General features: G+C 33.5%; 1 protein-coding gene across 3 annotated transcripts in view, besides 1 other annotated feature; it reads right to left on the bottom strand.

The window, feature by feature from the left end:
- XIRP2 (xin actin binding repeat containing 2) overlaps window positions 1-15,533 on the bottom strand; it is a 371,274-nt gene that overhangs the window by 287,735 nt on the left and 68,006 nt on the right. The window lies entirely within an intron of this gene.
- Window positions 10,744-11,245: an enhancer, noted in NCBI's record as "NANOG hESC enhancer chr2:167817284-167817785 (GRCh37/hg19 assembly coordinates)". NCBI's record gives its function as "activates a minimal SCP1, AML or CMV promoter by ChIP-STARR-seq in naive H9 embryonic stem cells {active_cell/tissue: H9 hESC(naive)}" and the evidence as "EXISTENCE:reporter gene assay evidence [ECO:0000049][PMID:30033119]".

Here is a 15,533-nt window from a genome sequence, read left to right as displayed (position 1 = left end):
GATTAGGACCTCAACATAGGAGTTTGGTGTGAACACAAACATTCAGTCCATAGCAAATGTCCTTTATATTTACATTCATTCACGTATTTTTCTGTTGGTCGTATCTAAAAGTGACATGAAAATGTTAAGGTAATCATGGGCACTACTTTATACAAAATCAATGCCCTTCACCCAAGTTGGTAACTACTCTTGCAAACTGTGATTTTCATGTTGTTCAAATATCCCCACCTCAGATATGAATAATTAAAAATTATTTTCCTATGAAAAGCTAAGTTACCTACAAAATATTTTTCATTAAATATTCTGACATACTCCTGTCAGTCTTGTAGATCAATGTCTGATTTTGTAGAGTGACTTTGCAAAACCACTGTAAAATATCCACCTTGAAAAAAGTCATGATATCAGTAAAATGTCTGACATTCAAAAAAGAACTAATTATACCTAGCAAATAATTTTTTTTTCATTTATGAGCTCATAAATCACAAGCTTGTGGAAGAGAGTAGTTGAGTAGGGAGTCCAAAATATCAGAAGTAATTAATTCATGTTGTGCTCTAATGAATCAAAATATTTGAGCTTTAAAATTCTCCCCAAGTTAATATCACATAGGCCCAATAAGTTACTTAAATTTTCATACTTTTTTTTCCTTTCTTCAAAGTATCTCCTGAAAAATTGGAACTTTTTGATGAATTTTCATTTATTCAACAAACACTGAGTGAGCCACAATGAATAAGGCACTGTATTAGGTTGTGAAAGCAATTAGCAAAATCATCCATAGTTCCTGCCCTGATGTAGCATATGTTCTAGGGGAAGAAAGAGAATAATTAATTTTTTAATTAATTTAAACTTACTTAAAGTAAAAATTACAATTGTATTAAATGCTAAGAGATGAGTTTTACTCTTAAGAGAGCATCTAATGTGGAAAAAAATAATCTCAATAGACTTACTCCTCTTAATGTGTACCTAATATTTCCTTGTTCATTGATGCTATTGAATTTTTTAGATAGCCATCATGTACCAACATTTATATTAAACTATTGATCTTCCTTCTAAAAATCAAGATAATACCTAGCCATATATTGAGTTCTCATATGTATTGGCTTCTATTTCTACCTTTGTACATTTCATTCATTTATTTATGTTGTTTTCATTATTAAGACCTTTTAATATTTTAATATATGATAGTATATTTATTTGAAAATATCAACTTCAGAATTGGTTTTACAAGATATCAAAGGAAAATATTATTGATATTTTTATGTGAATCACTATAAATTTATGTTAACTTAGGAGAACTGAAATCTTCCCTAGGCTAAATATTTCTACCTAAGATCATGATTTACCTTTTCATTTGTCTGTGTTTTCTATGAATCCTCAAGGTACCTATCGATTCACTAAGAATACAACCATTGTGTTCTTCTTGAAGTTAAAAAAAATCTAGAAATGAGAATAGTTCATGATATTATTTGAAAAGAAGTGACAAGAGAATCAGATACACTGTCCATTCTGCTGCATTATTTCTGTGTCAATTACTGGTTATGACACAAAGACACTTAAAAGGGAATAGTGCAACAACAAAACTCATTCAACTGGGAAAAGCAAAATAAAAAAACAAAACTATAAGAAATCTTGCCAAAAACTCATGTAATTTAAGAAATACTTCACAATCAGGTAAATTATAATGATTTTCAATGCTTAGGCAAGAAGGAAGAATAAAAGAAATACTGTGTTAAAACCCATTCCTAAATGGCAAGTCAAATCATTTTAGATTATTCATGTCTCCCTCAACAAGAACTTTTCATATCCTAAAGATAGTTATCAAAAAGTAAGGGTAAAAATACTAAGCTGAAGGATATAGAGCAAGCAAAACATTTTAAGTAAAATGTAGATGCTCTTCAAAATAAATATTTCTAATAAATTATCTTTACAGGGCTCCAATAAGATTCTGGTTCATGTTGTCCATAAACATTTCACATTATGTGGGCAGATTGGTTCCCTTTCATTCACCCAGACCTGAAAGCGAAAAGCAAAAATGATCCGAATGCTAATGGTTCATGAAACTGAGCTACAGATTTTTTTTTTAATTTTAGTTTGCTCTGCTTTTAAGTTGCTGTCCTAAATGTGTACAAATGTTTCTTAGAAGAGGTTTTAAGGATACAGGGGGAGTTGCTGCTTATTCAAACAATTTTAATGAAGGACTAACCTTTTGCATTTAACATTTGTTCCCTTCATTTGCTTTCTGGCATCAGTTTATACTTTTTTTTTTTTCCTCCCAAAGGAAAGGGCATAATGAACATACACGAGATTATTTAAATGAATGGTTTTAATGAGTTCTTTGAATAGATCCTCTAAAAAGCAAGCATGAAATTGCTTTCCCAGTTGGGATGCTTTAAAATATTTTTAGAAAAGTCATATATGAAGCCTTAAAATTCTAACCACTTTTAAAGGAACAATGATTGAAAGGGAGTTTTTTTTTTATTGTAATATCGTTTATTCTCACTCATACTGCAGAAGATATTAAAAAACCCAGCAGGATTTTGGAATTATTTTAATAGATTATCATGTTTCATATTAATAAGTAGTTATTTATCAAATTTAAAGGCTGCAGCTCTTATATACTACTTTCATATATGGAAATCTGGAACTTCATTAACTGGTGAATATTGACTAGACGTGAATAAATTCACTTTGTATAGTAAACATTGTTGCTGTCTCCTGATCCTTTGAACATCTATTCAAAGTGTCATAGTCTTGAGGTTAGGTAGAATTGACCTCATCCTCTTACCACTGTGACTGTTTTGGAAGTTGGCATAGACTTCATTAGTTCTCTTCAGAATGCTGTTCAAGACTTATATTCAATATTTTTTTCACTCCCTGGATGTGAATGAAGAAACACGTAGATTTAGAAACTTCTGGAAAGCAATATTTTCCCATGAGGAGAAAGTGACTACACGGAGCAAGGTAGAGCTGTGGGATTTGCGGGGAAGAGGGTCCAGAGCCTTGATAAAACTCTTCTTGACACAAACATTGGCCTCAGGCTTTTCTGTTTTGTGAAGAAGTAAACTTATTTATTATTTAAGCTCCTTTGGAAATAAGAACATGGTATACAAGAGAGATACAAACCGCCTTTGGCAGATATTATTGTCCTATCATTTAGAACCATTTATCTCTTGTAAATGTTATTGTTATAGCATCATTGTGTTTTGTTTCTGTCAGTCAAGACTTATATTCGTACATGCTATTGTACTAGCTTCTGTTAAAAAATAGAAAAAAAAATCAAATTTTTTACCTTTAAAGGTTAATGATTTAGCATGATTTATACATACTCTTGAAAACAGAGAAGATCTAATATAAAAGAACATTGTGCCAAAATGGAGCAGGTTCTGGATATTTCCTCATATGTAAAAAGACTTTGCAACAAATAAGCAGTAAGTTTCCTTCCAGCTTTAATGGCCTAAGATTCTATGGCAAATGAAGCATCAGGGATTTGAAGGCACAAAGTGGTTGAGAAATCTGTCACATGGAGAGCATCAGGGAATGTCGAATTCTTTAGTTCTTCATAAATCCATTTACTGTTTCTGTATTTTAAATTTTTAAAGGACAGATTCTGTTTCTGTTCTCCGTATGGGTTTTCAGAAAATACTGATGATATTTAAATTTTTCATGATCAGACATTATTCAGTAAGTGCCTTTTTGTATAGATAAAAGAACACCAATTCTACGTAAGCAATTTTAGAAACTTGGAATGTAAAAGATTCAGAACTGGAAAGACCTCCTCATGATGTGGGCCCTTCTATCATGCCCTCCATGTCATCACTGAACCTCTTTGGAATTCCTTTGTTGTTGAAGAACTCATTAGCTTCTAAGAAGCTCATTCCATCTTCATACAATTCTAATGGCTGATACCTTCTTCTATATGTTTAGCTAGCATAAACTTCTTGAAATTCTAGAAATTCATCTAACACGTGCAACTGTAGCTAAATATATTCTTTTAAAGAAATCTGCAGTGCCCAATCATCAGATTACCCTTATTTCTGTCAGATTTTCTTAAAACATAAACTTGTTTATATAGAAGTTTTATGGCTTATGATTGAACAAGGATTTCACCAGTATAGCCCTCTTAAGAGATTGGCTAAATGTAGAGTGGAATTATAAGATGGAGGAAAATCAAAAAAATTAAAAGTAGCAAAGGTGGGGAACTAGAATAATCACTGTCATCTTTAGAATAATGTAAATAAAATTTCTTTCCACTCCATGTTATATAGTTAGATGGGCCATGATTGAAATAGTAAAACTACTGACATTCAATGTTTTACTGATTATAGTCAATCTCCTGGTAAGTTTATGTAATGTGGTTATAGGTAGAAAATCACATATTTATACAAGGTTATGTGGAGCATAAGACCTCTGTCCTCTTTGCATAGATTAGGTAGGTCTCGCTTTGCCATACATTTCTTTACATCAGCTTTCTGATCATGTAGTGCCCAACATCCTAGAGAAAATGGTAAAAGTATTGCTCCAGTACTTCTCCAGAGGACCCAAGACAACTTTGTGCTGACAAACAGAATCAATATCTATTTACATATGGTTTAGCAATGTCATTTGTGCCTTGCGAGCTTCCATGGAGTAAGTGGCTCAATAAGATTGCTTTAAAGTTATTTAATATAATTTTAGGAAATTTAGCTTCCCAAGGAGCTTGAGAAGGAGAAGACTTCAAATCTCTTGAAAGCAATGGGTTTTTCCTTCACCTAGGGATATTTTGACTTTTAACAGTGAGTCTATCTTCTTCTAAAACTTGCTATAGGGATTCAGCAAACGTTTTATTTTATTTATTTGTAGTGTTTTCTTTACTATGGTGGTAAAATGAGTTTGTTTTTTCTTCCCACTACTCTCATTATCAGGATTCTGACAACTATGAAGGGTAAGCCAATGGAGAATGACATTTTGTCATAGAACTCAAAGCAGGAAGGAAGAATACATATGCACAGTAATACACAGACTAGATGCAGTGCTTCTCAAATATGGGGTGCCTACAAATCTCCTGAGGATGTTGTTCCAAAAGCAAAATCAGGTTCAGTAGATCTTAAATGAGCCTGAAATTCCAACAGGGTTCTAAGTGATGTTGATGTTGCTTGTCCAAGCACTACATTTTGAATAGCAAGGTGCTAAGATATATGCCACTTAGACTCTATGCAAGCTGTAGTTTGACTTTTGTTTTGCAAATGATCTGATTATCTGTAATTTACCCTGCCATCAGAACACTAGGAGAGCTTTTGCTTTCTTCTATTATCCATGTCATGATTCAAAGGTCCACATTTGTCTCTTTATAGCAATAGAATTAGATGGAGCAAATAAAAAACAATGGCCCTCTTAAGAGATTGGCTAAAAGTAGAGTGGAACTAGAAGATGGAGGAGAATAAAAAATATAGAAGTAGCAAAAGTGAGGTGGGAGAAGGAAAGTAAAGTAAAAAGGATATTTATGTATCTTTGGCAGAGGTCCCTGAGGAGCATCACAACTTTTGCTGTCTATATAAACATATAAAACAAATATGTATACTAAAACATATAAAACAAATATATATAAACATAAACGATAAAAACATGAGACAAATATAGATATATGTAAAAAAATTTTAGCTCACATTTTCAAATTTAGGTATATCTGGTTGGCTATTTGTATTTATAAGTTATATGAACAGAAATTAATTATCATTAGTGATTTGGTTTTCAAATAAGTAATTTAAGAAATTTTTCAAGTTTTCTAGATCAAATTATTACGTGAAAAATATATTGAGAATGCAAATTAAGTTTTTAAAAAAGTGTTAATATTGACAACTATTTAGCCTGAATCAAGAATTCAGCCTAAATTTTTGTTTTTATTTTTCACTTAAAGTGTAGACATTTTTATGGAGGTTTATATAAAATTACAGCTGTAAGAAAATATGGGATTTTATTTAAAAGCCTCAAAGTGTCATTGACTCAAGTTATTAATAGATAAACACAATTTATTTATTTGTACTTTAAAAATAAACATGTGCAAATAAATTTTTATTTTATCTATTTTATGTAACAGTTTACAACTTTTAATTTGATAAAAAGAGACTTCTGAGTAAAAAAAAAAGAAATCAAACTTAGAGGCCAGGCATGGTGTCTCACATCTATAATCCCAGCACTTTGGGAGGCCAGCAAGGTGGGTGGATGGCTTGAGCCCAGGAGTTTCAGACCAACCTTAGCAAGATAGGGAGACTTTGTCTCTATAAATAATAAAAGATTAGCCTGGCATAGTGGTGCATGCTTGTGTTCCCAGCTACTTGGGAAGCTGAGGTGGAAGGATTGCTTGAGTCTACATGGTCAAGGCTGCAGTGAGCCATGATTAAGCCATTGCACTCCAGCCTCAGCAAGAGAGAGAGACCCTGTCTCAAAACAAATAAACAAACAAACAACAAACACAAAAAAACAAATTTAGAAAACTACCTCTGTATAAGAAGACAATTGAGTATCTGTTATTAAGTCTCTAAAAAGGTGACTCTGTCATATTCTCTGTCCTTCCAGGCTCATTCATGATCACCTATAAATATTTAGTACATGTGGGACTGAATTCCACAGTCATTGAGATATTTTTGTTCTTTAAGCATTTCCTTCTAAAATGTAAGTGCATACTGGAGGAAAACGTCACACTAGAAAGTAAGGACTGATTCAAAGGACTTGCTAAGAGTCAGGACAATAGAAATCCAGCCCTGAATAATGTTGGGAGCTGAGTTCTGGTAGAGAATAGTGACACTGGTAAGTCAGGTCAGAAGGTGTGTTAGTGATTCCTCAAATATTACTGACTCTTCATGTTCTAATCACATATTAGAACTGCCCCTTATTATTGGGCCACATGACTAATTTGTTCACTGAATTGCAAGTTAAGTGACATGCATCACTTTTGCATTGCAGCACTTAATTAATTGCTTATATAGTAGTCTCCCTCTTGCTTTCTCCCTGTGGTGGGCAACTGATGATGTTCAAAGTGCTTATGCCTCTGACATACCATGTCTCTTAAAGACGATGATCAGCAGAGCCTCTAAGCTGACCTGTGATGAATATATAGTATGAGGACAAACAGAAAAACAAACCTTTGGGTTACAAGCACAAACTGAGGCTATCCTAAATGATTTAGGTAGGCAAGCTGTAGATCAGAAAGGGCAACTAGAAGAAAAAAGAGGTATATTGAGTGGGACCGTGAAGGCTGCCTAAGATAAACTTAAATTACTTAAAAATATTGTTCAGTTTCCAACACTTCTGAAATGTATATGGAGGCTAAATTTATATACAAATACAACAAAATTCGAGGTAACCAAAGATTCACATTGCCCAGTTGGTTTATGAAGATGGACATATGTGTATTAGGCTGGTAGTCCCAGAGCTGCAGGTGGAAGGATGATAAAAGGAGGATCAAGAGCAACTTATTCTCAACTGACTTGTCAATGCATTTTGGTAGATAAGCAAGTTTCACTCCTTGTCCAAAATCATTTACAGCCTCCTATTTGCGGTAATGAAACTAAAAATATTTTAAGGTGATAGTATTAATATCAGATATTCATATTTAAGCTTACAGCACTGACATTTCTTAAAAAAATATAGAGCTAGATGACCCTAATCTTATGACAAACAGATTTTCAACCTCTTACCTTTTACTGATTGTAACATCCTCCTGCATTATGAGAAAACACAATTTGCCTATACATTAAAGCAATGACAATATGATTAATACAATTAAATATTTGAAAGTATTATCAATATAATTTTAAATGATGTCAATCTGAACCAGCTGCTGGAATGAAAATTCAAGTCCCAATTAATTTTATCCATATACTCATAATCAATGTATCTATAGAATCAAATTACAATGTCCAGTTCAATGACTATTCCTACCCTAACCTACTTATTGTCCTCAGAATCATTTTTTACTTTCCCTCTTTTAATTCCCACATTCACTTCATCCCCAAGTCCTTTAAGATCTACTCTAACAATATATCCTGTCTCCCACCACCTGTTTCTGCTCTTCCTCCTTTAACTTTAGAACACACCATGTCTTCACCTGGACAGTTGTAATTATCTCCGAACACTGTCTGATGCTTCTATTTTCCCAAGGTAGCCAGAATCATCACAAACTTCCTCTACTTAAAAGCCCTCAATGGCTTTCCATCGATTTAAAAATAATATAACAAATTCTTACAGTAAATTTCAAGATGTTACATGTTGTCACTCCTGCTTACCTCTCTGACTTCATTCCCATGCTATGAGTGCTCTTCTTTGCTCTGCTTCAGCTATGCTGGTCTTCTTTCTGAGAGGTTCCTGAATCCATCTCACATCTGCCTTTGTGTCTTTGCCATAACTTATCCCTCTAATCCCTGTATGTGGATTTCTCTTACCTAAAATCTGTACATTGGTGACATTGCAACCTCTGCTCAAATATCTTTTCTTAGATATAACATGACTGACCATTCCTTACGAAAGAGTCTCTCCTCCTCCACATTTTTATTCTTCATTTACACTTTCATTTATTGCCTTCATTAACACTTGTTGCTATCTGAAATTACCCTAGTTATTTACTTGTTTTAGTCCACCTTTCTCTGAACGTGTAACTCTGAGAATGGTCGACTTGTCATCTCTGAATCTCCAACAGCTAGAATGAATGAATGAATGAACGAATGAATGAATGAATAAATGAGAGGATGAATAAAAGGACTGCTAAATAAATATATAAATAGTCATATATGTATCCACTGCTATTTTGGAGCTATATTGTTTATAAATTACTCAACAAATTTTATTGATGATTTTTGTTTTTTTATTTTTATTTTTTAGAATTTATAAATTGTTTTAATAATTTTTAATTGACAAAGTTGTACATATTCATGAGATGCATTGCAATATTTCAATATATATAATGAATAGTGATCAGATCAAGGTAATTAGTATATTTGTAATCTCAGACATTTATCATTTTTTGTGTTGGGAACATTCAATATCCTCCTCCTAGCTATTTGAAACTATATATTATTGTTAACCATAGTCATCCCACAGTGCTACAGAACACTAAAACTTATTCCTTCTGTCTTACAATGGTTGGCATTTTATTAGGGCACTAAAATGTAAGAAAAAAACTGGTTTAAATCTGTTCTGGTACAGAAATTTGGGGGCAGAGGATATTGTAATTTACAACCTTTTCTAGAAAGTAACTAATATTCCTGATAAAATGCTTGAGCAATTTTTAATGGAATTTAATGAGATTAAGAACCTCTATTTGGAAAATCAGAATTACCCTCCTGCCATTACTGACATTGGATTATCTCCATGACAAATTAATAAACTTCAACAAGGCATTATTTTGTTGTATCATTTATTTCTTTATCTCTTCCAAAAACTTTTTGAGTTGCTTTTTCCTACTTTTTCTTTTTTGCTTATGAAGCAAGTCTGAAATAAATGTGAATATATGCTTGCAATAAATTGCTTTAATAATTTGCTGTTATAGATGTATGAGGCATTTTTTCTGCCTCTCCAGATAATTTAGAGTCCCTATAAACAAATCAATCTTGATGTAAATTTGTCTTTAGTGTATCCAATGACAATACAATATTACCCCCCTGTAAGCTGCTGTATGGGCCATTCACTGCATCATATGCACGGTTTTTGTGGTTCTGCTTATACAGTTTCCTAGACTTAGATGGAGTTTTTATCTCTTGCATACTCAGAACATTAGTCTTACAGGCATAGCTCAAGATCTGACTATTCCAAAGAAATAGTTGATTATCAGCAAAGACTGTTTAGATGACCTTTGGATATGTGTGGATATTTTTACTTTTTAAGCTGTTACAAGATTGTGGGTGGCCAGGTGCCCAGGATTCTAAACATAGTATTATGTTGCCCATGATGCTATTAATAATACCATCTTCATTGAGAAATGGACCAACAAAATATCTCTTCCTCCCTTGAACTTTTATGGCCACTCATTGTCTCTTTTTCACCTTCCGATCTTCATTCAGGTACATAACACAATTCTTCTATTTTACTGAATTTTCCTTAATTCCCAGAGGTATGCTTAATTCATCCTTAGCTTTTTTAAAAGACAAATATTCAATATTTTCAAAGTAGCTTATTACATGGATTTTAATGTGTTCCATAACCACATTTACATTTGTTAACAAATCCAAAAAAAAAGTAAAGTTGAAAGTATATATTTTACACATTTCAGGTAAATTAGAATTCCACTCCATGCGAGGAAGGTAAAAAATATAATTTTAAGTTGATAGGGATTAAAAATCTGGTCAATCTGTAGACAGAGAAATTTCTAGGCAGACACACTGTCCTTTTTCAGCCCTGTATTTTTTAGACAGTAAATTTCTCATATCTATTCCTGACAAAATAAGGCAAAAGGAGACATATTTGATCAAGATTATTGTTATAACTATTGTCACACATAGCACTTTCCATTTCATTTCCTTATATTGCAAATAGAATACAAAGTAAGTAAACAAATATATTAGCTGTTTGAAGGCTAATTCAGCTGTCAGATTTGAAGTTATTCTTTTTTTACTTTTTTAAAAGTAACTTATAATACAAATTCAGCATTAAGAACAATTTAAAGCAACCTCATGGCCCTGAAATGTACTGAACATCAATTCTGAAATCTCCAAGAAATGTTCTGAGGCTTCAATTTGATGACATTCTGCTGAATTTAGGTGAGGCATGCTTAAATATTCTCTGTCATAGCTCTTTTGATGCTGGACAGGTCACTTTCTGTCCAAGGGAAGAAAAAACTCTAAAAGACAATACAAAACGATTCAATCATCCTTGTTAATGGCTGTGCTCTCTTCACCCAGAAGTGAGGGGTAATTCTGCTCTCTGCAAAAAATTCTCCTAGCTGCAAGTTTGCCAGTAAATCTGTGGTATACAGCCCAGAGCCCAGAGAGGGGGGCTGTGGAGTGGCAATTTACATTAACAATACTCTTCATATTCATGTTATGCTAATTAAGCAAGTACAGCAATCTGATGCAATGATGATACTTAAACTGAGCTCTCTAATGGCAATAATGTGCCTCAAAGGGCACAAGCCAGTGTACTGCCAATGAGTTTAATACACGCCTGGACAAGTAAAAGGTCAGGATGGTTACAAGGTGCCAATAAGTGCTTCAAAGTAGGAGGCCTGGAATAAGCCCAATTCTAGTCTCTTTAATAAAATCCTTATAAAGAGTTCCTGAGCTGACTTTCATTATCAAGTATTTTGCAAATATTCATTATGCTCATGTTTACTTCCATTGAGATAAATGGTATTGATCCAAATTTTCTGGCTTATAGCTGTGAACAACCTACCAAAGTATGCTATGATCCCATACTAAGTTTACCCCTTATAATACACATTGCTTTAAAATCGGGGATAATTTAGATAATTGAAGTGAACTCCTGAAAAATTTGTCCTTTCAAGAGTGGTGTAGAGACGAAAAACTAAGGCAGCTCATTCCTTTCCAAGAGTCTTTGCATTTCTGAAAACATTCAGTAATATGATCACCAAAGCAGAGGGTTGCAAAAAGGAGATCAAACCTGATCCTGGTGGGAGACTCATTTCTTATTTTTGAAACAGTCACATGCCCTTTTTATAAGTACAACTGTTCTAACAAATATTTGACCTTTTCTCTCTTCTCTCTGTCTCTTTTAATTGTTCTGCTACTTACTCTTTGGGCTTTCAACAGGAAGGATATTGTTAATGGCATTTTCTTTTCCACTTATTTTTTTATTTTCCTTCATCATTCAACTAACATATCCCCTCTCCACCAAGTTTTCAATCCTCCAAGGTTGTGATATTCTTGGTTAAAAAGCAACCTCAGTTTTAGCCCAGTGTGTTCACAATGAATATATATTCTGCAGAACAAAATGGAGTTTATTGTTAATAACATCATTTTTAAAATAGTAAGTTTAGCTACGGTGAAATATTCTTAAATTACAGCCCATGTGACAAGAAACTGGCAGGGTAAGAATAGATGAAGTGCTATTATAATTGTGATTTAACATTATTTTTAATTTACTCAATTATGCTTTCCTATTTTCCAAAACCTCAGCTACCATTCATCTCCATTTCCTTAAAGTGATTGTGCTGATCAGTTCCACTAGGTCAGCTTTGTGTTTAATAGACCTGGTTTGGAATCACAAAGACAGTCACTGTGATTGTATCCTCTCAAATAGAAGATGTTTAACCTCTGAAACTCGTTTTCTTCAGTGCAATAATTTGTGGTCAAACTCTCAAAAGTACAATGAGGGTATTAAAGTCTAACTCCAAAGAATGAACAAGAGGAAAATAAACCCTGCTATGCTGAGATTTCAGAGTGGTCAGAAGAATTTCTATATTCAAAAGAATATGTAATCATCATAAATGTAGCCTTTAATAAAGTCTGCCAGGATTCCTTCATAATGGTTGCCTATATACTGTTTTCTTTGCTTTTTGGTTTCCCATCCAGAATGAGGGAAACACTTCATAGCTTTTCCTTCCCCCTGCATTTCTAACATCAGACACATACTGTAAGTACACGGCTTCTGAGAAGCAATTAGAGTTAATGGGATTAAAAATCTAATCACACAACTGCTTTGGCTTGTATCTGCAGAACTGCATAGTAAAGCCTCACAATCCAAATGCACAAAAATGAGTTATTGCACTTGTCCATGGAAGGTCTCTGTAGCCCTTATTTTATCTGGCTTTCTCCAGGGGCAGCTTTTCAGGGTTTGATCAGAGAAAATGGCTGAGATTTACTTCTTACAACAGGGACATTTGCACTTTCTTGCTTTTAAACTGCTTTTGATATATGTTAAAGACGACAGCAAGAAAAGAAACAGGGGTACAACCAGGACAAGAATACATTAAAAAATACATTCTCTCGAGTACATAGTGATGGCAATCACCACAGAGATGCTCTGCTTTCTTCCAGGAATGTTCCTACTTTAAGCCGTTGAGAGAAACAGAGATGCTTCAGGCAAAGCATTATGGGATGTGGAGTAGTCACTGGAAAAGGCAGAGGAGTCTGTGCTAGAGTTTTCCTGGCCTTCTGTGACAAAGAAGAGGTTGGAATAGACGTTCTCGAAAATCCCCTTTGCCATTGAAATTCCATGAATACATAATGCTGAATGAAAGGCTGATTATTTATTTATGATGTAGATTATTCAAATTGTAAGATACTAGGATAAGATTTTTATTGCGGGAAAAAGACATGGCAAGAAACAACTCACCACAGTAAGAAGACTGACTCTTGATGTTCTTTAGCCCAGTAAAATAAAAATTAATAATAATAACAAGAAGCACAACATTTACTGAGTTATTTCAACTCCCTGGCATCTTTTTAAGAATTTTCTGTGTATTATCCTCACAACCCTAAGAGGCAGGCATTTTATTTTATTTTATTTGCACAGAGAGAAACTAAAGCAGAAAATAATTTTGCAATTCATCCAGCTTCACACACTGAAGTGCCAAGACCAAGATTGGAATGTGGGTACTAGGGCTCCAAACCCCAGCTATATTTACAAGCAAGAATACTTACTGAAGATCACCAGTCCATGTTGTTCATATGAGGAAAACTCTCAAATGCCCTAAATGCCCTTCACAAACACTTAAAAGTCTATAAGCAAAGAAAAATAAAAGCTGCCCTCAGCTTCTCTCTCTATTAGATTTACTTGCTCTCCCTCTGCAATTGAGTCATCTGAAACACTGCTGCATAAATATCTAATTTACTCTATTTTCCAAGCATTTTAATTGCCATCCCCCACAACTGTTGGGCATGCGCCTAGCCCCTCACCCACAGTCAATGGGTCTTGTTTGTCAGTGCATTCCTGGGAAATGTTCAGGCAGCAAGCTAAAATTCAGCATCATCTTAATTTAAGAAAATCATAGTTAGCAAAGTCGCTCACATTTCAAGGGCAAATATAAACCACTCTTAGATTCCAAGATCACCAATCATGTTGGATTCTCAAGCTTTTTCCTCTTCATTAGTTTGCAATTATACTCAACTATCATCAACACTCAGGAAGTAGCTAGCAATCACACTGAGAGAAGGATGTAAGATACCACAGGAAGTTCCTAACAAAGTTTCAAAAGGAAATCGACTGTATACAATGCAGAATATTTTTACAGTGCAGTCATGTCTTATACAGAGTTAGGTTATAAAGTCAATGATTAACGTGAAAATCAATGACATAAAAAGTACGCCTGAAGTGAACCTAAATCACTCATATGGGTCTATCTGCATGGTTTGTTTTAAACAAATCTCTCCTGATAGGGTGTATATGCTTAATGCTTCCTCTTTGTGGGAACAGGCCACAATTTCTTCTGCTGAGCATAGGATGCAACACTTTGCTTGCATTTAGGGAGTATAATTGCTTTAAAAAGTTCCATTTACCCATTCCTGGACAACTGCATAGCACTAAATTTATGTGTAAAAAATGTTTATTTGATGTAGCATCTAATACATTCATAAAAAATAGAGATAATTATTGGTATTAAGCCCTTATGTTAGTCCATTTATTAAATCACAAATGTAAATAATTTTTATTTCCCTAGGAAAAAATAGTACAAAATGAAACTATCCAAGTTCTCCTAAATAAAAAATAAATAAAACTGGAATAAAATAATTATTTTAAATCTTAAATGCTAATGCCTGAAGAAAATTATTTTAATCAGAAAAGTAAGAAAAGTTAGATATAAATCTTGGAGAGTGGCATTTCCTACATTTTTTCCCTTGTACAATTTAATTTTAATAAGGAATGATTCTTCCAACTGACCATTTTGAGATCATAAAATATTAATATCCTTTGACTAGTGACTAAGAAAAATCTCCAGATAAAGAGAAAAATCAACAACAAATGAGGCACAACATGGAAACAAAATGAAAATGAATTCTATCAATAACAACTACCTTTGATATAACATTATACAGTATTCCAGGACAATGGTTTTAAAGAGGGTGTAACATTATATAAAATGCTTATGATATAATAAAGCAAAATTTCAAAGTAATTAATGCAGTATGTATGGTTAGTTATTCAATATCCATTCTAACCTTTCTTATCTTAACATAACTTCAAACTGATTCAAAATTAAACATTTGCTAGACTGCTGTGAAGCTAGGGTTGGTCTTGTGACACATTTCCCTCATTGAGATATAAATGAAAGCCAATGGGAGGATCTTCCAGGGAAGCACTTTTTAAAGGGACAGAATCTTTGGGTGTTTATTCTGCCCTTTGCCTTTCCCCTTCTTCCTGCCTAATACTAGTCTCTCAAGGACCAGCCATCTTGAAACCATGAGAGGATGTATGAGAATCAAAGCTACGTGGTTAAGATGATTAACTGAAATGAAGACTATGGGACCTGACAACTAGCAACCCTGGACTTTTTTTATATGAAGAAAAATAAACAAGTAATTATTTAAACCACTATCTTTCTCAGGATCTGTTGGGTTTGAATGCAATCTACAACCAATATAAGAATTTACATGGAACAATGACCACAAAAT

Source organism: Homo sapiens, chromosome 2 (assembly GCF_000001405.40).
Source record: "Homo sapiens chromosome 2, GRCh38.p14 Primary Assembly".
NCBI lineage: Eukaryota > Metazoa > Chordata > Mammalia > Primates > Hominidae > Homo > Homo sapiens.
This window is presented reverse-complemented; position numbering and strand designations above follow the sequence as displayed.